The sequence below is a fragment of the Homo sapiens genome, chromosome 7 (genome assembly GCF_000001405.40).
Source record: "Homo sapiens chromosome 7, GRCh38.p14 Primary Assembly".
NCBI classification, from domain to species: Eukaryota; Metazoa; Chordata; class Mammalia; order Primates; family Hominidae; genus Homo; species Homo sapiens.
The window spans coordinates 1,434,359-1,455,661 of NC_000007.14; the positions used below are offsets into that span (position 1 = coordinate 1,434,359).

At 63.5% G+C, this 21,303-nt stretch overlaps 1 protein-coding gene across 5 annotated transcripts in view, besides 3 other annotated features; it reads right to left on the bottom strand.

Annotated features, from left to right (window-relative positions):
* MICALL2 (MICAL like 2) overlaps positions 1 to 21,303 on the bottom strand; it is a 25,112-nt gene continuing 3,809 nt past the window's right edge. Inside the window, exons 2-17 of one of the 5 annotated variants that reach the window (NM_182924.4) lie at positions 15,882 to 15,930; positions 14,262 to 14,403; positions 13,217 to 13,407; positions 12,355 to 12,470; positions 10,294 to 11,070; positions 7,834 to 8,126; positions 6,233 to 6,326; positions 5,567 to 5,727; positions 4,482 to 4,637; positions 3,931 to 3,995; positions 3,739 to 3,862; positions 3,532 to 3,622; positions 3,177 to 3,250; positions 2,384 to 2,498; positions 743 to 789; positions 1 to 314 (exon numbers count right to left, since the gene is read on the bottom strand). In NM_182924.4, the coding sequence (NP_891554.1) occupies positions 238 to 314; positions 743 to 789; positions 2,384 to 2,498; positions 3,177 to 3,250; positions 3,532 to 3,622; positions 3,739 to 3,862; positions 3,931 to 3,995; positions 4,482 to 4,637; positions 5,567 to 5,727; positions 6,233 to 6,326; positions 7,834 to 8,126; positions 10,294 to 11,070; positions 12,355 to 12,470; positions 13,217 to 13,407; positions 14,262 to 14,403; positions 15,882 to 15,930 (2,572 nt within the window). In that variant the 3' untranslated portion in view covers positions 1 to 237. Of the gene's footprint in view, positions 315 to 742; positions 790 to 2,383; positions 2,499 to 3,176; positions 3,251 to 3,531; positions 3,623 to 3,738; positions 3,863 to 3,930; positions 4,638 to 5,566; positions 5,728 to 6,232; positions 8,127 to 9,218; positions 10,234 to 10,293; positions 11,071 to 12,354; positions 12,471 to 13,216; positions 13,408 to 14,261; positions 14,404 to 15,881; positions 16,043 to 20,970; positions 21,070 to 21,303 lie in introns of those variants that run through there. The other 4 variants (XM_047420837.1, XM_047420838.1, XM_047420836.1 and 1 more) reach the window with 4 other exon arrangements.
* Positions 12,495 to 12,999: an enhancer, noted in NCBI's record as "H3K27ac-H3K4me1 hESC enhancer chr7:1486489-1486993 (GRCh37/hg19 assembly coordinates)". NCBI's record gives its function as "activates a minimal SCP1, AML or CMV promoter by ChIP-STARR-seq in primed H9 embryonic stem cells {active_cell/tissue: H9 hESC(primed)}" and the evidence as "EXISTENCE:reporter gene assay evidence [ECO:0000049][PMID:30033119]".
* Positions 17,455 to 18,006: an enhancer, noted in NCBI's record as "H3K4me1 hESC enhancer chr7:1491449-1492000 (GRCh37/hg19 assembly coordinates)". NCBI's record gives its function as "activates a minimal SCP1, AML or CMV promoter by ChIP-STARR-seq in primed H9 embryonic stem cells {active_cell/tissue: H9 hESC(primed)}" and the evidence as "EXISTENCE:reporter gene assay evidence [ECO:0000049][PMID:30033119]".
* Positions 20,155 to 20,449: a silencer, noted in NCBI's record as "tiled region #3173; K562 Repressive non-DNase unmatched - State 14:Gen5'". NCBI's record gives its function as "represses a minimal TATA promoter and a strong SV40 promoter by Sharpr-MPRA in K562 cells {active_cell/tissue: K562}" and the evidence as "EXISTENCE:reporter gene assay evidence [ECO:0000049][PMID:27701403]".

Here is a 21,303-nt window from a genome sequence, read left to right on the forward strand (position 1 = left end):
TCCGGGGCCATGTGGTCGGTTTCTTTATTGAGACCACAGACGGTAGCGCAGGTCCCTGCTGTCCACATGCCCCTTGTAGGGACAGGAGGCCCTTCCCGAGTCCAAGTCCGAATGCCGGGTCCGGGCCGAGCCCACGGCCCCGAGTACAAGTCCGGGTTCCGGGTCCGGGCCAAGCCCATGGCCCCGAGTCCAAGTCCGGATGCCAGGTCCGGGCCGAGCCCACGGCCCTACTGGCTACTACTGGGAGGGGCTGCTTTTGCTTTTTGGTGACCAGATCTTGGACAAGCGGAACTTGGACTTCTTCCTCTGGAGGCCTAGGGGACAGGTGGACAGTGAGGCCGTGCTCAACGCCGCAGCCGCACAGCCGTGGCCCACACAAGTCCCCCTGCCAGAAACATCCTTCCCTTCCACTGGCCACAATCCGCCCTGGGCCTCCGAGCCTGCAGGAAGCCCTGTGCCCTCCCACGTGAGAACCTGCCCCGACTGGGTGCCCCGGAGGGCTGGTCCCCACCATGACCACACGGTCACCAGCTGCCCCTGGCTCTCTTAGGGGCGGGAGGGAGCTCTCACCCTCAGGGTGAACCTGCCTGTCCTGTCACCAAGGCTGAGGGGGGGACCCGATACCCGCCCCCCCCCCACCCCCAGCTGGAGGCCCGGTCCACCCAGCCAGCCAGCCCAGCACTCAGCATCCCCGGCCCACCCAGCCAGCCAGCCCAGCCCTCAGCATCCCCGGCCCAGTCACCCAGCTTCTCAATCATGTCCCGCAGCATCTGATCCTCCTCTTGTTCCCTGAAACGGGACCAGATGGCCATGAGCGACAATGGCAATGGCAAGGTGCCCTGGAGGGGCCTCCGGACAGTCTCCAGCAGTGGCACCCCAGCCCTGAGTCCCGCCTGGACCCATGCCACCTGCCCCTTCCTGCTGACAGGCCACACCTTGGAACCCTGCCCCCACCAATGCCAAGTCCCTGCCCTCTTCCAGAGCCAGCCCCTCAACAGTGACATGGTACAGGAGGGCCCTGGGCCGACCACACAGGTGACCTGGGACAGAAGGGCCTGGGCCGACCACACCAGTGACCTGGACAGGAGGACCTGGACAGGAGGGCCTGGGCCGACCACACCGGTGACCTGGGACAGGAGGGCCTGGGCCGACCACACAGGTGATGTGGGACAGGAGGGCCTGGGCCGACCACACCAGTGACCTGGGACAGAAGGGCCTCGGCCGACCCATGCCAAGGCCCCGTCACGCTCCCAGAGGGTCTCATAGAGGTGGACTTCAGGTGCCGACCCAGAATGCCATGTGCTGGACCCCTCATGAGACGAGACAGGAAAGCTGTCGGGGACAGTCACACAGTCCGTGCAGGAGCCAGGAGACGCACGTGGCCTTGGAAGTTCAAGTTAAAAACTAAGACTTTGGCCGGGCACGGTGGCTCACACCTGTAATCCCAGCACTTTGGGAGGCTGAGGCGGGCGGATCACGAGGTCAGATCGAGACCATCCTGGCTAACATGGGGAAACCCCGTCTCTACTAAAAATCTAAAAAAATTAGCCGGGTGTGGTGGCGGGCGCCTGTAGTCCCAGCTACTTGGGAAGCTGAGGCAGGAGAATGGCATGAACCCTGGAGGCAGAGCTTGCAGTGAGCCGAGATTGCGGCCACTGCACTCCAGCCTGGGCGACAGAGCAAGACTCTGTCTCAAAAAAAAAAATACAAACAACAAAACAAAACAAACAAAAAAAACTAAGACTTTACGGCCAGTTACGGTGGCTCATGCCTGTAATTCCAGCACTTTGGGAGGCCAAGGAGGGCAGATCACCTGAGGTCAGGAGTTCAAGACCAGCCTAGCCAACATGGTGAAACCCCGTCTCTACCAAAAATACAAAAAATTAGCCGGGCATGGTGGTGCGAGCTTGCTACTCAGGAGGCTGAGGCAGGAGAATCGCTTGAACTCGGCAGACGGAGGTTGCAGTGAGCCAAGATCGCACCACTACACTCCAGCCTGGGCAACAGGAGGGAAACTTCGTCTCAAAAAAAACAAAAACAAAAAATTAGCCGGGTGTGGTAGTGTGCGCCTGTAATCCCAGCTACTCGAGAAGCTGAGGCAAGAGAATCATTTGAACCTGGAAGGGACAGGTTGCAGTGAGCCAAGATCGCACCACTGCACTCCAGCCTGGTGACAGAGCAAGACTCTGTCTCAAAAAAAAAAAAAAAAAAGACTTCAAAAAGTCCCCGATGGCCACATGTGGCCCCTGGCTACTGTACCAGTCAGCATAGACAATAACCGCCTGGTCAGAAAGTTCTACGGGGCTGGCTGACCCTGAGGGCCGGGAGCATGGACCAGGCGACCTGGCCTGGCTGGGAGGGGCCCCCGGCACCTGCCCCTCACCGGAGCCGGTCCTCGTCCAGCGAGTCCACGATGTCACTGCGGTCGTTCACGGTGCTCACGTACTGCTCCAGCAGCTCCTGCTCCCGCCGCCGCTCCTGCAGTGACTTCAGAGCCTCTGTGGGGATGGCTCGTCAGCAGGAGCCCCCCCCACCACTGCCATGCCCCTCACAGGACACAATGTCCCCACCACCCAAGCGCCAGGCTCCTCTTTTGGAGGAAGAAGGTGGGGTCTTGGGGGGATCCGGAGCAGAATGAATGAGTGAATAAGTGAATGAAGGAAGGAACGGCCACGTCAGAGCCCGTGTGCTGGGATCCTTCCCCATCATCTCGCAGAAACACCACTCGCTGCAGAGATATGGACACTGAGGCTCAGGGCGTCGCTGTCCCTGCAGCACAGCAAGGAAAGGGCAGAGGCAGACGGCCTGGGCCTGTGCCCTCAGCCAGGGCACCCTGCATCACGAGACAAATGCCTATGGCTCGCCCTGACTGCTGCTACACTAAATGCCTTGTGCGAATTGATTCGTTTAATCCTCACAACAGCTGCGTGAGGTGGGTGCTACAAGCATCCTCACTTTGCAGAGGATGAAACCCAAGCACAGCAAGGTTAAGTACCTTGGCTGAGGACACACAGCCAGGAGGTGGGAGATTTGAAACTCAAACGTGGGCTCGCCTGGCTCCAGGGAAGGTCTCACCACCAGGACAGTCAGGTGGCCTCACAGAGCCGGCCCCCAGACATCCTGGGCTCCGCGGCATCCCTGGCTGGGGCCCCTTGGCTGGCGCGCGGGGGACGCACCGGGCTTGGCCATGAGCCGGCGCAGCTCGCCCTCGATGTCCAGCTGCTGCTCCTCCAGACGCTGGGCCTTGGACCTGCCGCACAGACACGCGTCTGAGGCCTGACTCTGCCGCCCTGTCCCCCGCCTGGCCCGCCCAGCCCGCAACGAGGTCCTGGACCTGCCACACAGACACGAGTCTGAGGCCTGACTCGCCGCCCGTCCCCCGCCTGGCCCACCCAGACCGCAACGAGGTCCTGGACCTGCCGCACAGACATGCATCTGAGGCCTGACTCTGCGCTCCTGTCCCCCGCCTGGCCTGCCCAGCCCGCAACGAGGTCCTGGCCTTCGAGGAGGGGCCCACGGCTGGGCTCTCACTTGTACATCAGCTCTGACTCCTGTCTCAGCAGAAGCTGCTTCTCGTGAATGAGCCAGAACCAGTCCACCATGAGGCTATCCTCAGCGTCATCTGGGGAGAGGAGCCAGCTGGGGCAGGGGGGCCCGCCAGAGTTCATGGCCCCCAGCCCCAGGACTGAGGGTGTCTGTGGGAGTCGGGCTGGCCCAGGGCCAGGCCGAGGCGCTCACCTCCCTCGGCCGCCCGCAGTCGCTTCTCCAGCTCCACGCCGCGGAGCTCCAGGGCGTCCAGCCGCCTCTCGATGTCCTGCAGCTGCCTCTGTATCTCCTCCGGGGAGAGGTAGTCGGGGTGCAGCTGGGAACGGAGGGGCGGTGAGGATGCCGGAGGGCTGGGCCCCTGCCCGGCTCCCCACCACTACTCACCCTGACTGGGGAGGTCACCGTCTCGCCAGGCAGAGCAGGGACATTGGCCGGGGACAAGGGTCTCCCTGGAGAAGGAGCAGGGTGAGCCTCTGGGACCTGGGCCACCAGGCCCAACGTGACCAGGACACAGCTTGGAAGGAGCCTGACCTCAGCACAGCACAGCTGGCCCCAGCCCTGCCTCCCTAATGCCCCACACGCCCACTGGACTGCCCTGACCCAGCCCCACAGACACCTGAGTGGCCTCCAGGCCCAGCCCCACCCTGCACCCTGCCCTCCTCCAGGTCAGCAACACCCCAGCCACCCCAGTCCCTCAAGCTGCCAGAAGCAGACATTCCATCATCACCATGAGTCTGTAACAAGGTACTCTGAAACAGCTAGGGTCTCTATTCATGAGGGCGGGCCTGGGGCACGGGGCTGGGTCCTTCCTCCAGGCTTTCCCTCCATTCTAGGTCCTGTGAATGCATCCTCCAAAGCCCCAGCAGGCATTGCCTCCTCAGAGGAAGGCTCCCTTCACGTACACCCCAAACAGCAGCGGTGTCTCTGGGGCTGACCTGGTTTGCCCTGAAGGTGAGGTTTCTTCTCCTCCTCCTTCCAGCTCTGCACTCGGGCTTCCTGGCCAGGGGGCTCCGGCCGAAGCCAGTTGTCACAAACGTCGAGGCTGGCAGGGACGGCCAGTCTCCTGCGGCGGGGTGGGGAGGGGGACCTGGCTGCCCCCAGGTGGGGAGACAGAGCCACGCTTCAGAGCAGGGCCACTGGGAGCCTGGGGTCTGTCCCAGCACAGCCAACAGCTCGCTGGGTAGCCCGGCCATCCCCATGCCCTGGGCCTCCCGACTGGCACAGGGTTGGCATCACAAGCCCTACACCCACGTCCTGCCCAACCTGGCCATGTCTCCCCAGGGGGCTAACCCACGGGGCTGCTGGCTGCTCAAGGTCACACAGGAAGTGGCACGAGAGCTGGATATGGATCCAGGGCAGCTATGAGTGCTAGGAATACACACAGAGATGTGTGTGCACACACACGCATCACACACGAACACGGGTGCACACGTGGACACACATGCATCACATTCATGAAACAGATCCACACATGGGTACATGCACCACATACATGAACACGGTTGCACACACATGCATCACACAGATGTACACATGGACACACATGCATCGCACATGAACACAGATGTACACATGGACACATGCATCACGTGTGGGCACACATGCATCACATACACGAACACAGACACATGGACACGCATCACACATGTACACATGCATCACACGCATGAACACTGATGTACACATGAATACACATGCATCACACATCACATACATGAACAGACACATGGACATGCATCACGTGCACATGCATCACACACATGAACACAGATGTACACATGCGCACACATGCATCACGCATGGATACAGGCATCACATACATGAACACATGCACACATGCATCACACACATGCACACATGTACACACAAGCCTGCCCAGGACTACCAGCTTCTCTGGCTGACCGGAGCGCCTCTCCGCACACCCCAGGAGGTGGCACTACAGGTCCAGTCCCGGGGCCCCCACCCAAGGGGGAGGGCCAGCTAGGCAACCCGGGGGCCCCTGGGTCCCGTCCAGGAGTACCTGGGAGGCTGGGTCCTGGGCTGGCTGGGCGTGGGGTCCTGTCAGGCCTCACGGGGGTCAGGGTGATGTGGACACTCCCAGCAAAGCTGCCTGAGACCTTCCTGGGGGCCTCCCCCGCCCTCGGCTCTGCCAGGGCCCGTGGTTCCTTGGGCTTCAGAGTCCTGGGCAGAAGGCATGAGGTCGGAACCCGAACCACCAGCCCCAGGGCCTGGCCCACCTGGAGGGGCTCCCAGGCCATATGCAGACCAGCCGGAGGGAGCAGGTGGCCTTCTGAGCAAATGCCACCTCCCAGCCCACTGACTACACCTGCTGGGACCCTCCTGCAAACACACGTGTCCATCGCTACCTGCCGTGGTGCGAAGCAGATTCCAGGCGTGAGCTCCGGGCCCCACGGGACCCACACATGGGGAGACTCCACCCCAGCTGCAGGCATGGTGCGTGAACCCACACGGGTGCTGCCATGCCCAGGTGAGACACGCAACGCTGCCCCCAAACCAGGGACAGCGGCCCCCATGTCCCTCAGGCAGGGGTGACCTGGCCTCTGCTACTCACAGGGAGGTGCGTCTATCCCTGGATAGGCGTGTCAATCGGTCGATTACATACTCACTGCATTTATTAAGCACCTATGGTGTACCAGGCCCTGGGCCAGCCCCACCCATCCCTAACCTCTCAGCTGGGCTTCTCCTGTCCACGGGCTTCAGATTCGCTCTCCATCCTGCCGGCCCGTCCTCCTGGCCTTCCTGGAGGCTGGTGCTCATGTCTGGGTGGGAGGCAAGGGGTCTGGGTGTGAGGAAGGAGTGCTGGGAATGGGGTGTCTGCAAGGGTGGCTGTGCCTCCCCCTGCCATCTTCCCATAGCCACTCCACCCTCAGACACCCCCACAGCCAGCCGGCCGGGGGGCATCAGGAGCACCGGGCAGGGAGTCAGGGGAGGGGCTCCCAGCTGGCTCTCCTGTGCTGTGTGTCCCTGGGGGAAGCTCTCCCTGCCTCTGGGCCTCAACTTCCCCTTCTGCCGAATGGGTGGGGACGTGGCAGGGTGAGCCCCGTGGACCCTGATCCTCTGTCCACCTGTGCAAGGGGAACACCTGAGCCACGGCTGCCCGTCTGCAGGCTTTCTTGGCTCCTGGGTCCTGCAGGATCCAGCGCGTGGCTTTAACAATGAGAACTCAGCCAAAGAGAAGGATCTGGAAAAACCCTTTGCAGCCCAGCTTGTTCCCTGAGCCCAGCTCGATAAAGCCATGGGAACCTCTAGCTTTTTTCTACACACACCCAGGTGGCAGGGACAGCCAGTTTCCTGCAGTGGGGCGAGGCGGGGGGACTCGGCTGCCCCCAGGTTGGGAGACAGAGCCGTGCATCAAAGCAGGGCCGCCAGGAGCCTGGGGTCTGTCCTGGCACAGCTGACAGCTCACTGCGTAGCCTGGCCATCCCAGTGCCCTGGGCCTCCCAGCTGGCACAGGGTTGGCCTCACAAGCCCTAAGCCCACGTCCTGCCCAGCCTGGCCATGATCACCCAGGGGGCTAACCCCTGGTGGGTGACAGCCAGTTGCCTAGAAGAAAGCTCGCTCCCTGTTCCCGAAAACACGTGAGGCCATAAAACAGGACTGTGTGGTCCAGGGAGCCCCCAGGAAGAGCTCCCAGCCTAGGAGGCACCAGAGCCCTCAGGTCATAGGGCATCGTCACCAGACCACCACCGGGGGGGACGGAGCACAGGGCGCTCTCACCTGGACACCACCAGGGGGACAGGGCATACTGGGACACCAGCGGAGGGGACGGGGCATAGGGCACCGTCACCGGGACACCACAGGGGGGACGGGGCATAGGGCACCATCTCCGGTATGTGGTGACACAGGGTGCCACAGCAACAGCGCGACGTTGTCAAAGCGACAGGCAGGAAGCGCAAAACACCACGGGAGAACAGGAGGCCCCACAGACCACGGCCAAGCCAGGCCACTGCTAGCCACAGGATGTAACTGCCAGACCGAGCTGAGCGGGACGCTGCAGGGCTGGGCTGCAGGCACCTGCAGGACGTGCGGATGGGGTGGGCTGGGTGCCGGCAAACAGCATAGCCCTGAGGACATTTGCAGCCACCACACAGAGAGCGCACCAGGACCCCAGGAGGCTGCGAGCAGGTGTCACGGAGGACAGAGATGAGACGGAGAGGAAGGCGGGCGGGGCTGATGATGAAACCGCACACACTGCAGAGTGCGGCCAGGGGAGAGTCCCAGAGCTGCGGGCCCCCGGGGCCTCCTGCCTCCCAGCCCCTTACTCACCCTGCGTTAAGGTGGTGCTTTTACCCTTTGCCATCGGGGCCTCTGGCTTCGGCCTGGAGCCAGCACCCACCCTGCCGACCCCTGAGGATTCCGCCAAGTTCCTCCTGCCTGCCGGGGGCAACGCGGATGCCTGAGAGGTACTGCTCGTGCTCAGCGGGGCTGGCGGTTCCATCCTCGAAGGGAGGCCAAGCACCCGGGGAGACGAGGACTGTAACGGCTTGGCTAAGGGACTTGCTTGTGGTGCTTCAGTTTTGGGCTGAGAACTGGGAACAGCGGCAGTGGCTGGGGAGGGCCTATAAGTAAAAGCGCAGGCATCAGGCACAGCTGGATCCAGGCGCCCTCCCACCATCACCCGAGGCCGCCCCTCTGCCTCCCTGCAGCTCACTCCCAATGCCCAGCCTCCGGACGGACTCCCACCATCACCCCAGGCCACCCTCCACCTCCCCCACCATTGCGCCAGGCCACCCCTCCGCCTCCCCCACCATTGCACCAGGCTGCCCCTCTGCCTCCCTGCAGCTCGCTCCCAATGACCACCCTGGCAAGGCACAGGCCACAGACACCTGTTTCTGGCATGAGCATATGCTGTGGTTGATTCTCCTCCCCTGTGAAATCCAGTGTTGGCTGAGATTAAAATATCCACCCCCTAAACACACCACCCACCCAGGCTGGAGGCACCTGGGGCTTTGTCAGAGGCTGGGCCGGCCTGGGCTGCCAGGTTCAGTCCCATGTGACACAGTCTCTCTGGCCCCGCCAGACACACAGACACAGGGCCAGACACAAGGCCTCCGTGCCTTCCTGCCTTCCCTCAGGCACACACCAGGAGTGAGGCTGCCAGAGCCTGAGGTGGGGGCACCAGGTGCCTCCCCACCCCCGAGCCAGTGCCTCCATGTCCCCACCCCCCTCGACAACCAGTTTCCCTCCCCCCTTTCCCTTTACACTGGGCTCAGGTGTGCCAGGCCAGCTTCCCCAGAGGAGCTGGGGTCCTCCCCAGCCACACATGCCCCCCGCCCCACCACCTAGGAAGCACTCCCTGGAGCACCCCCGCCACTCATCCTCAGTCCCTAGGATGCCCTGGACACCCCCCAGTGCCAGGAGGAGCAGAGCGAACTCGCTCTTCTCCTGTCTGTGACCACCCCGGAGGCTCTGAGCACCCCCTGCTGACCACTGCGGGGGCAGGAGGCAGTTCTGAGCAGGGGACGCCTGCACCCCACGATACGGGGCAGGAAACGGCGTTGTCAGCCAGGCTGCGACAAGCATTCTTACTCGCTAAGTGACTGTACTTGGTCGAATGGTGACCCCTAAAAGTCATGTCCACTGGGAAGCTCAGAGTGTGACCTTATCTGTAAACCATCTTGGCAGTTATGATCATGTTAAGATGCACTCACGCTGGGTTAGGGTGGACCCTAGTCCAACAACCATGTCCTTAGAAGAGACAGAAGAGGAGAAGACAGACAGAGAGAAGGCCACATGGAAACGGAGGCAGAGACTGGAGGGAGGCGACCACAAGCCAAGAACGCTCAGAGCCGCTGGGAGCTGGAAGAGACAAGGACAGGTCCACCCCTAGTGCCCTGCAAGGGGACGCGGCCCTTCCCCCGCCTCAAGGTCAGACTTCTGGCCTGCAGAGCTGTGAGGGGGTGGATTTCTACTGTGTAAGCCGCCCAGTGAGGGGGTCTTTGGAAACTGATGCAGCGCCCCCCTCTACCCGTCCACGTCATCTGCTCAGGGTCCAGGCACAGGCAGGCGCCGGGCCCAGGCATGGAAGGTCAGGGCCTGGCTGGACTCAGTCAGACAAGGTGATGCTCAGCCCAGCCAGCGTGGGTCCCGCTCGCGACCTGTCCCCGCGTCCACTCAGACCCGCCAGCGTGGGTCCCGCTCGCGACCTGTCCCCGCGTCCACTCAGACCCGCCAGCGTGGGTCCCGCTCGCGACCTGTCCCCGCGTCCACTCAGACCCGCCAGCGTGGGTCCCGCTCGCGACCTGTCCCCGCGTCCACTCAGACCCGCCAGCGTGGGTCCCGCTCGCGACCTGTCCCCGCGTCCACTCAGACCCGCCAGCGTGGGTCCCGCTCGCGGCCTGTCCCCGCGTCCACTCAGACCCGCCAGCGTGGGTCCCGCTCGCGACCTGTCCCCGCGTCCATGAAATGGGCGTAGGACCCTTGGGTTCCAAGGGAGTGCAGCACAGGGGGCCCCGGAGCGGCAGCGCCACCGCACCCATGACGCCCCGAGCACATGCGGACAGCAGCTTTTCCATAAGGACCCGGCTTCCACCACCCTGACCACAGGCACTGCCACCCTGGCTCCTCCTCCCCATTCCCCAGAGAAGGAAACAGGCTGGGGGAAGTGCAGTCCCCAAGGCCACACAGCCAGGGAGGTGCAGCGCCCCCAACCCCTCTGGCCTCCGGGGCCCCGCTGGCTGGTGCAAAGAGGCCATACCCGGGGTCCCTCGGTCCCCACGCGCTCACCTGCCAGGCGCCGGAGCGCCAGCCTCTTCCAGCGCTGAGAGGGCCTGCTTGAGGAAGTTCCGCGCCTGCTCCTTGCTGCTGTCCTTGGATAGAACAAGTGACGGGGTGGGACCTCTGCCAGAAAGGCTGGTGCCGGGGGGCACTGCTGATGTTTGGAAAAACTTATTCCGGGCCTGCTGGGTCCTGGAGGCGGACGGGGTCCAGGCTGGGGGGTCCACCGTGGCTGCAGATGTGGAGCTTGAACTGAGTGTGGTTTGAGGAGCTGCCACTCGGGGGGCTCCCCCACCCTGGGGTGTGGCCGGGCGAGGGTCTGGGGCACTCGGGGGCACGGCGGGATGGGAGGCAGCCGCTGCTGTGCACGGGGCAGCTGACGACCAGCCCATCGGGGAGCTATTGGTCACACGAGGGCGGACTTTCCCCTCCGTGGGAGTGGGGGCCAGGCGGCTCTCAGAGGGCCTGGCTGGGCTCCTCACGTGGACGGACGTGGCGCTGGTGGCTGCAGGGTTGGGTGCAGCTGGAACGGAAGCCCTGGCAGGCGAGTTGCCCGCAGCAGGCTCCCAGGCCGACGGTCTGGCCTTGTTTGCCTCCTGGGCCTTCTGTGGGGAACAGGAGGTCCTGGAATCCACACCCATGGCCCCTGGCTGTCGGGGGACCAGACCCGTCAACTTGGGGCTTGCAGAGGCGGCTGCGGGGAGGTGGCTGGTGCAGACGAAGGTGCCCGGCTCTCCTGTGGCCTTGTAGGCCCCCGAGTGCAGCGTGCAGGAGCACTGCTTACACCTGGGGGAGGAAAGGCACAGGAGCCCCAGCTCGGCACCGCCCACCCCGCCACGCATTCACCACGTGCTCCTGATAGCAGGCATTGCGGACTCCTGTGTCCACTTGCGAGGTTGCTGAACGCCCGCCCCGCCACGCATTCACCACGTGCTCCTGAGAGCAGGCATTGCGGACTCCTGTGTTCCACTCACGAGGTCGCTGATTCATTCAACAAACGCCTCTTCTCAGGGTCCTTAACCACTTACATCACAAACCCCACCAAAAACCTCGTTTGGGGTGCAAACCCCAGAGGGTGCTTGTGCAGGTCAGCAGACACACACCCACAGGCCACCCCAGGCCCCACCTCGGGGCTGACCCACCCTGGCCTCACAGCGTGGGGGATGGAACTGGGAGGACCGGCCCACCCCAGCCTTGCAGAGCTGGGGACAGAAGTAGGGGGAACAGCGCTTGTTTCCTAGGAGCCCCCACCCGGGGTGCAGGGTGGCAGCAAGGGGCTGGGGATGGCCACTGAGTACAACACCAGTGGGAAGGGCTGAGGCACAGAAGGGAGACTGAGGCAGTGTGTGTGGAAGGACAGTCGGGAGGGCATCTTGACGGGGGCACTGGAGGAGGCATCTGGACGGGGGCACTGGGGGACACTGGGGCTTAGTGAGGGGCATCAGGTCCTGGGTGTCTGGGAACAGTAGAACATCTTGGGCTATCAGCAACAGAGCGGGGGGTGGGGAAGAGGGTGAGGAGGCGGAGCAGTAGGGAGAGAAGAGTGAAGAGGGAGAGGAGGGGGGAGGAGGGAGAGGAGGGGGGAGGAGGGAGAGGAGGGGGGAGGAGGGAGAGGAGGGGGGAGGAGGGAGAGAAGGGGGGAGGAGGGGGAAAAAGGGGGAGGAGGCGGAGCAGTAGGGAGAGAAGAGTGAAGAGGGAGAGGAGGGGGGAGGAGGGAGAGGAGGGGGGAGGAGGAAGAGAAGGGGGGAGGAGGGGGAAAAAGGGGGAGGAGGCGGACCATTAGGGAGAGAAGAGTGAAGAGGGAGAGGAGGGGGGAGGAGGGGGAGGATAGAGAGGAGAAGGAAGGGAGGATGGGAAGGAAAGTGAAAGGGAGAAGAGGGAGAAGGGGAGGAGAGGGGAGGAGGCGGGAGGAGGGGAGACGGGGAGGGGGAGGGGGGAGGAGGGGAGAGGGGAGAGGGGAGAGGAACGAGGAGCGGGGAGGAGGAGGCCGGGTGGGAGGCGATGGGAGCTGTGGGAGGGTTCTGGGAGGGGAGGTGCACACTCAGGCGTGCGGGCAGAGGGCAGCCCCACCTGAAGCAGCTCCGGTGGTAAAGCCTCCCGTCGGCCAGGTGCCGCTGTACCAGGTGCACGTGCTTGCCGCAGACCCCGCAGGTGCTGCTGACCAAGCTGCCCGCCAATGCCTGGTCCTGGGGAAGATGCCAGCACCTCTCTGAGCAGCCGTCCACCCAGCCCTCCCTCCTGGTGGCAGCCCACAGGTGGCCGGAAGAGCCCATCTTACAGATGGAGAACTGGCCAGGAGAGGAGCCGCCAGCAGGGCTGCGGTCGGGGTCACACCCAGGTGGGTGGCAGCCCCAGTCCAGGGCCTCTAGCCCAGCCCTGGGGAGAGAGCTGAGGCCCGATGCTAGTGGTCCTTCGGTGGCTGGGGGCCAGGGGACAGATTCCAGGCCTCCTCCTGCCCCATTAGGGGCATGGATCCCATCCAATTCCCACCATCCCGGGAGCCTGGAGTGGCAGTCCAGGCATAGCAGGGGCTGCCAACCACCAGATATTTGCCCACCGCCTTCCACCCCAACTCCGCTTCTGAGAAGTGGGGGTGCCTGGGTTCACTCTGCAGAGCCGGCCTTGGGTACAGGGCATAGCCCAGCAACCCTTCTCTCCCCGGGAGAGAGGTATCCTGGGCCCATCTAGGTTCAAGCTCTGTCCCACCTTTGTGCTCTCCCATCTGTACAAAGTGGGATCACAACCCCTGGCTTGATGGAGCCCTGGAGAGCCCGGTCCTGGCGGCTCTTGCTAAGGCTGAGCCCTGGACTGGGGGAGCCGCACCCCACTCTGGGTCCCGTGGCTTAGGGGCCGCACGTAGTCCCACAAGCCCCTTCTGCACCCCCCGGTGGAAAACCCAGAGAACCAGGGGGAGGGTGGGGTGGGAGCTTACAGTCTTGGGGGGCGGGCCCCCTGCACCCTCATTCCTCCTCTGGACCACAGGGTTTGTCTGGGCTGGAGATAGTGGAGGCTTCCGGGCTGGGGCGGGCGAGGGCAGCTTGGCCGCCTGGACTGGAGCCTTCTTCCCTGACGGCTCCTCCTCAGAGTCCTCCGAGGCCCTCTTCACGCCTGCCATGCCCCCAACTGGAGGAATCAAGCAGGGATCGGGAGGGTCCCAGGCCTGGCTCTGAAAGGGTCTAGTCCCTCCAGAGGTCCCAGTGCCCAGCACAGGCCTTGGTGCCCGGGGGGGACCTGGGGGCCCAGGGCTGGGGAGAGGTAACCCTGAGGGCACTTTTTCTGGCACAGCCCCGGGTCGGTCCCCACTCCTTCCCTCCCCACTCAGAGCCCCAGCTGGAGTCAGGGAAAAGGGACTTTTCTGTTTCTCCAGCAGGCAGGGCAGGCCCTGTGCCCGGAATGGTTCTGGGGATTTCTAAACCCTAGAAGAGGAATGTGGGGGTGGGGGGGTGGGGAGCTGAGCTCTACACACACAAAGGCCGGGCCTGTCCCTCCCCTGCCCAGTTCTATCCGGGGGCCCCACCCTGCCAGGCCAGCCTGGCTTCCATAGGGTCCAAAATCAGGACAGATGAAGGTAGGCCCAGGAGCTGCCCCTGGTCAGCCAAGCCACCCCAGTGGGCACAGAAGCTCAGGGGTCCAGATGGGCAAACTGAGGCCCATGAGGGGCAGGGCGGCAGGAGCTGCTGGTGCACCTGGCACCTTGGGGAAGCAGCGGGGGCAGCTCTCCTGCAGCAGGATGAGGGCCCCGGTCCCTCTTGGTGAAGACACAGCCTGGGGCTTTGCATGGGGCCGGGGTTGGGGATGGGGCGCCCACCAAGGCCTCTTGCTGCTTCACAGCCAGTGCACAGCCCCGGTGCCCATGCCAGGGGCCATTCTTGGGGGGGGGGCTGGGCATGGACCCCAAAAAGTCCACAGGCCTGGGAGCCAGGCCAAGGATGGGGGGCCTGGTCCTGCCTGGCTCGGCGGGCGCGGCAGGGACTCACTGGGGGAGCGGCCGTGGAAGTAGTTGTAATACTGGGACACGTAGGTCAAGATGCTCAGCCGGTCAGGCACCTTCAAGGCCACCATGTCCTCGGCATCCAGCAAGGCTGGGATGCCCAAGTGCTCCTCGGCCACGCGGAAGGCCTGCGAAAGGTGGGAGGGGGTCAGCGGGGCAGCTGGGAGCCCCCTCCTTCTCCACCAGGCCGCAGCTCACCTCGACTCAAAGACACAGTCTTGGAGCCCAAAGAGGCGTGGGTTGGAGGCCGGAGCTGAGTTCTGCTCGCGTGGCCTCCCGGCCTCAGCTTACCCATCATTGCAGCGGGGATCACGGTCCCATCTGCACAGGACTGAGGTCACCAGGCCGGTGGGCGCTCAAGGCCCCGTCCAGGTGAAACCTCAGGGGATCCTACCCTTCACCGGGAGAATCCCAGGCCCCACCCAACCCAGACTTACGCAGTCTTGAAACAGCTCCCTCCAGAGGCAGGGCTGACATTGCTGAGCCCTCCCCGGGGGCCAGAAGGGACACACAGGTCGCCATGTCAGGGCTCCCAGGCAACAGGTGAGGGCCGCTAGAGGCTGAGACAGGGACTCGACAGCCCACGCCGTCCAGCCCAGCAGCCGCCGGCCAGGCATGGCTGTGAGCATGGGAAGTGTGGCCGGCACACTTGAGGAACTGGACTTGTTTATTTATTTATTTTTATTTATTATTATGTTTTTGGAGACAGAGTCTCACTCTGTTGTCCAGGCTGGAGCGCAGCGTCAGCTCACTGCAACCTCCACCTTCCGGATTCAAGCAATTCTCCTGCCTCAGCCTCCTGAATAGCTGGGATTACAGGTGCGCACCACCACGCCCCACTAATTTTTGGTATTTTTAGTAGAGACGAGGTTTCACCATGAACTTGTAATTTTAGTTCATTTTAATTAAGTTAAAGCTTAAGTTCAAATTGTCCCCGTGCTGAGCAGGGCAGTGCCGGCCGGGCAGGTATGACTGTCTTCAGTGCTGACCACTGTCCCCGCTGAAGGCCAGCTCCGGGGGCAGGGACGTGGCCGGGGCCTGCCTGGCACAGCACAGGACATGCCTGCAGGGCGCGTGGTGAGTCTGCCGGTGCCTCTGCCCACGAGGGAGCGTGGTGCTTATTCTGCAGCAGGCAAACTGAGGCTGCACACAGGGAAGGGCCTGGAAGCTGGGGTGAGCAGGGCAGGACTGGAATCCTGGCAGGGCCGGAAGGCAGGTCCCATGTGGTGGGAGTGGCAGCAGGCCCACTGGGACCCATCCACAGCCCCCCACAGCCACCCCCAGACCCTTGTTCTGCCTGAGGCAGACTGGGCTGAGCCCCCTTGCAGTGAAGTAGGGTCCCCAGCCACCTCCTGGCACCTTGCTCCCCAGCTCAGGAAAAGAGGGGACCAGTATGCCCTGGGTGCCAAGATAAGAGGCTATTTCTAGAACGCTAGGGTCACCCAGCCCAGGACGCGTTGCCGGGCTGGTCAGGGAGCCCCCGATTCCCAGGCAGGACTCCCAAGGCAGGTGCAGGGCCTGGGGGGAGTCCCTCGGTCCCTCGGACGTGGGTGGGGCTCAGCAGGCTGGCTAAGCCAGCTGTGAGGCCGGGGCGGGGGCCACTCACCAGTTTATTGTTTTCATAAATATTTTCCTTCTTGAGAGCACTGAAGTTTCTGGAAGATAAAAACATGATGTCCAAAGCAGCTCAGAGTCCACGAAGGGAGGGGCTGGAGGGCCTCAGAGGTCATCTTGCCCAAACAGAGAAACCGAGGCCAGGATGGGGGGCTGTGAAGGAATGAGGTGGCACAGGACCACAGGTGGGCAGAGGCCAGGGCTCCCGGCCCTGCTCCGGCCACGGTGATGCTGCTGGGACCGTAGTACGACATCAGACGGCCCCAGCTTCACCTCCTGTACCCTGACAGGCCGCCCCTCACCAGTGCTCCTGCCACAGTCAGAGGTGGCAGGAAGCAGGCCTGGGAGGTGAGGTCACCAGCCCAGGGCGGTTCAGCACAGCTCAGCTCGGAGGGGGCTCTTCCCATCACAACGCTTGGTGACCAGGTGGGTCGCAGAGGCCTGATGCCCCCAGAGGACCACAGGGAACGGAGGAGAGAGGCTCCCAGGGCAGGGGACGGCACCATATGCAGAGAGGGCCAGCCACGCTGCCCCCGAGGGCAGGACAGGCCCCGGATCCACCTCGTCCCACACATCATCGCTTCTGTTGTTGGAAGGGTGACTTCTGTTCACCCTGCAGTGAAGGGTGTCCTTCTCAGCGCTTCACAAATACCAACCTAAGGCTCACACCCGACCTGTGGAGCAGACACCGGTTATGTCTGCATCTCACAGAGACAGCGGCTCGGGGACCTGCCCCAGGTCACACAGCGGGGAGACAGCTGCCAAGCCCACTGAGGTTACATGGTTCTCTCTTTGGGTGGTGGAGTGCCTTCCCAGGTGCTCAGCGAGGGCCCAGCCTCACCCCTGACTCGCACACTACACCACAGGGATGCAAGGGTCCCGGGAAGTTCCCGAGGTGAGGTCCCCGGCCAGCCTGGACAGCAGGGCCCTTCTGGGGACGCCAAGAGGACAGCCCCACGTGACCTCCAGCTGGTCCTGGGACTCCTGATGGGCACCTTGGGAGGATACCCTGGGCAGAAAACACACCAAGATCCCAGGAGGCCCCAGCCCAGCCCCAGGCCCTCCGACAAAAACCACCAGGCTCCCAGCACGGGCTGCGGCTTCTGGGAGGGAGGGTTGGTTAAATCATGATCTGGAAGCCGGGTGCAGTGGCTCACACCTGTAGTCCCAGCTACTCAGGAGGCCAAGGCAGAAGGATTGCTTGAGCCCAGGAATTCGAGATCAGCCTGGGTAACACACTGAGACCCCGTCTCAGAAAAACAAAAATATAGTGATCGTGACCCGTCTGTCCACGTTGCTGCCTGTGGGGTCCCGGACAGCAGCTGCTGCCATGTCAGCGTGAACTGGACTGTTCTAGAAGCTTCCTGGCCCCACAGAGGGAGCTGGGGCTGCAAGCCGTGTCCTGCCTCACCCCGGCCTGCATGTCTGACCCCGGCCAGCCTCGGTCTCAGGGCCTCAGTCTCCCTGTCTGGGAGGACAACCGCAGCTCCTGGTGGCGAATCTGACGGCCGTAGCTGCAGCAAACAGGAAGGCTGGGCAGGTCTCAAACGGAGAAGTGGGGGCCGAGACCCCTGTGGCCACGCAGCCTGGGCGGCCTAGTTCTGAGCCCAGCCTGCACAGCCCTTGCCAGGCCCTGACCCCCATAAGAATGCTCCGAGGCCCGGACAGTGAGCCCATTTCACCTGTTTCACAGATGGGGAAACTGAGGCCAGGCAGCAGCCACACGGTGGGGTGGGGGCAGTGGGATGGGGGCTGCAGGCTGCCCACCTCTCTCCTTAGGAAGCCCCCGCCCCGTCCGCCTGCAGCCCTGCCGTCCATCAATCTGCTGGGATCCTTGGGAACCCTCCACCGTTTCCAGCTTGGACCCCCTCCCAGGTAACAGGTTTCAGACGGCAGGACCACCCGTCTGCACAGGCGGAGCTTCTGCACGCCGGACAAGATGGGGCGCGGACTCCTCTCCGTGTGGACAGATGACGAGGAGCCCCCTCCCTGGGCTCAGTGGCAGCGAAAGCGGTTTCCGTCTGCTCGGGCCTGGGCCGATGCCTCTGTCTGCCTGGGCTTGTCCCCCGAGAGGGTGTGACCCGAGGGCACGTGGGTGGCTGTCTATGCCCAGGGACTCTGCAGCCATGCTGGGCGTCAGCCTCAGCCCCCAGGGCTTAGGAGCCGGCTCTCCCTCCCTCTCTCCCCGCCCCCAGCCCTTTGAAAGCTCAAGCTCTTCTGCAGACCTTCCCTAGGGTCACTGACCAAAGCGGCCATGTCCCCGGAAAGAATGCCCGGACGGCCGGGAGGGCAGTGTCACAAGTCTGTTTTTTCTCTAAACAAGCAGGAGGAGGAGGCTGTCTGCCTCCCGCACTTGTTTCCGTCCACCCCAGGGGCCAGCAGCGGCTCTGTCCAGTGGGTTTCCCTGCAGGGCCATCTCACCCCCAGACCCACAGTCAGGCTCTCAGAGCTCCAGGCAGATCAGAGCACCCCAGGCCCTCTGGACACACCAGAGCCAGTGCCCACACGGCACAGGTCTGGGCTGCGAGTTCAAGCATCGCGGCCTCAGGATGAGGTTCAAGCTGCATTCGGGGCGTTTGAGGCCTATTCAACTGGGCTGCACCACCCCGGCCGGTCCCACAGCCACCACCCATCCTGCCCCAAGCTCCTTCCCCAGGGCCGGCCCTCCAGCCTCCAGACCATGGCTCCACTCTCCCGGCACAGAACAGCTTTTCCCACACTCCGCCCGATGCACCCGCCAGGCCCTCCCCAGATGCACCTTGCTGTCCCCGAGCTCACACCCCCGGGGCCCCTGAGCAGCTGAGCTCAGGGGCCCGATGCTGGCAGAAATCGCCGCCAGAACCGTCTCGCAAGCCCCACCAACATCGCCAGGTGGAGACCCCACTCGTGTCTCCAGGAGCCCCCCAAGAAAATGACACATTGGAGCCCTAACCTCCAATTCCACCACGTGACCTTATTTGGAGACAGGGTCTTTCTGGAGGTGAGAATTCATTTTGCCTCCTTTGGAGATAAGAGAATTCAAACAGGGTTCTTTGCGGGGAGCCCTGGTCCCATGGCTGGTGTCCTCATAAAAGGGAAATGTGGATGCAGATACAAACTGACAGGGGAAGAGGATGTGAAGGCACAGGGCGAAGACGGCCACCCCAGAGCCAAGGAGAGAGGCCGGGAAGATCCTCCCTCCTGCCCCCAGGAGGGCCCAGCCCTGCTCACACCTCCGTCCGGGACGTTGGCCTGCAGAACTGCGGGAGGACACTTTCCGTTGTTGAAACCGCCCGTTTGGGGGACCTTGCAAGGGCAGCTTGAGCAGGTGGACACCCCTGTCCTTGCCGGACAAAAATGCATCAGCTTCCCCCCACTCAGCAAGTGACCAGCTACCCATGGTGAGACGGCTGGAACTGGGACACAGCCCCAGCCACCGCTGCAAACCTGCAGGCTGTGGGATGGGGGCTGCAGGTTGCCCACCTCCGAGACATGGCATCCTCCAGGGTTTAATCTTCTCTTATTTGAAGCCTCAGAATTAAAATCAGGTATACCATGGCCCGGCTCCAAGACACACACCGTGGGCCAGGCACACAGTCGGTGCCCTATAAATGCGTGTGATGCATTTGTTCTGTGCTTGGTGAGATTTCTGTGGCAGTAACTTATTCTTTCAACACTGGCTGAAGGAATGAATTTGCCGTCTGTGTGTCGGTCACAAGATTTGCCCTGGCCAACTCTCCACCGTGCGTGCCCCTGCCCGGCCACACCTGCCCCCACCACCCCTCTAACTGACCCACGACCATCAACTTCAGCCCATGGAGTCCAGCCGGCCTCTGCCCCGGCGCCTCTGGGGGCTCTTGGGAATGTATACCCCCCTCCAAATTCCTGGGTGGCCGACATCACACTGTTTACTTCCTGGAACAAGATTCCGCCATGGAGTGGGGAGGGCGGGGGGGTGCAGGACTTGGAAGGGAAGGAGCCCCAGCCGAGGCACATCCAGCACATCAGGAGAGAATCCCACGGAGAAGGGAGCAGAGGGAGTGGGGAGAGGCAGGTGGACGGACAGAGAGAGCTGGAGAGAGAGAGGAAGACCCCAGCGGAGATGGTGGAGGGAGGCCCAAGAGAGACAGGGACCAGATGGCACAGTCGGGATGGCAGAGAGGGGACTCGGGGAAGGAGCAAACCTCAGAGACAGCGAGGACATGGCCAGGCAGAGCTCAGGAGAGGAGGGGGTGGGCAGGGGGCGGTGACGACTGGGGAGGGGAGGCCGCAGAGCCCCCACCTTGCACACTGGGCCTCTGGAAGGAAAGTGTGGGGCCCTGGGCAGTCCCCCTGCAGTAGGTGGACAGGCAGCCCCCTCCCGCGCCCGTCCTGGAGGGTTCCGGCCAGAGGCGGCCACAGAGGTCTGGCTACAGGCCCTGGGGCAGGAACAGAAGGCCTCTGTCCACAAGCAGCTTCCTGCTGACCCAACCCCGCGTGGGAGAGGAGGTCAGCCCACCCTCGGCCCTGGCCCAGGAAGTGAGGGCACTGCCTGGGAGCTTCTGGGTGGGGGCCTCTGCGTGAGTCTCTCCCCTGGCCCCCAACAATAGTGGTGTCTCGGGGAGCCCCGCCACCCTTGGGAGCCACTGCTGGAGGGCTCCATGCACTGCACAGCGGCCGCCCCAGCCACCCCCACTTCCTGGCCCAGCCCTGAGCCCGCCTCCAGAGCTGCAGGGACCAGGAAAACTTAAGGGACCCTGCCTTGGAACTGAGGGTGCAGCAGAGACCCAACTTCACGACACCCTCCCAAGGCCTGGCCACAAATCCGACAAATGCCCCCAGCCACGAACCCCAAGAAGGAGGCCGCAATGTTCTCCCACCTGCTGGACGGCTTCCTGCGCCACGCACAACGCCTGCCCTCCCTCCAGCCCTGCTCCCTCCCAGCCCAGACACGCTGTGCCCCCTGCCCCATCTGCCCGAGGGCTGTGCCTGGAGACCTGCTTGGGCCCAGGAATGAAAGGAGCCAGCCCATGGCAGAGCTGCTCCAGCCCCGACAGGCTGACTGGCTGAGGGAGGTGAGGCGGGAGGTGGGGCTGTTTGTTCTGGGTGGTTTCTGAGCTCACCTGGCTGCCCAGCTGCCCTGTGACACCAGTATGGAAACAGCGCCCGGGGGCAGGCGCCCTGAGGCCTGGCTGCAGAGAACCCACAGCCGCAGGTGAGACAGGGCAGGCGGGCACAGGCAGGCTGACCAGGCAGGGGACCCGCCCACCCTGCCACCTCCTGGTGGGCGTGGCTGGGCGATCCTGTTTCCTGGCCGTAAAGCGGAGATTCACGGACACCTCTCTGTACCTGTGGGGCTCCCCAGTGTGGTCACACGTGGCTCAAGGAGCCGGAACATGGTACACAGGAATGTCCGGATCCCCGCCCCCTCCACCCGGGGTCGGTGGGGCAGAGGC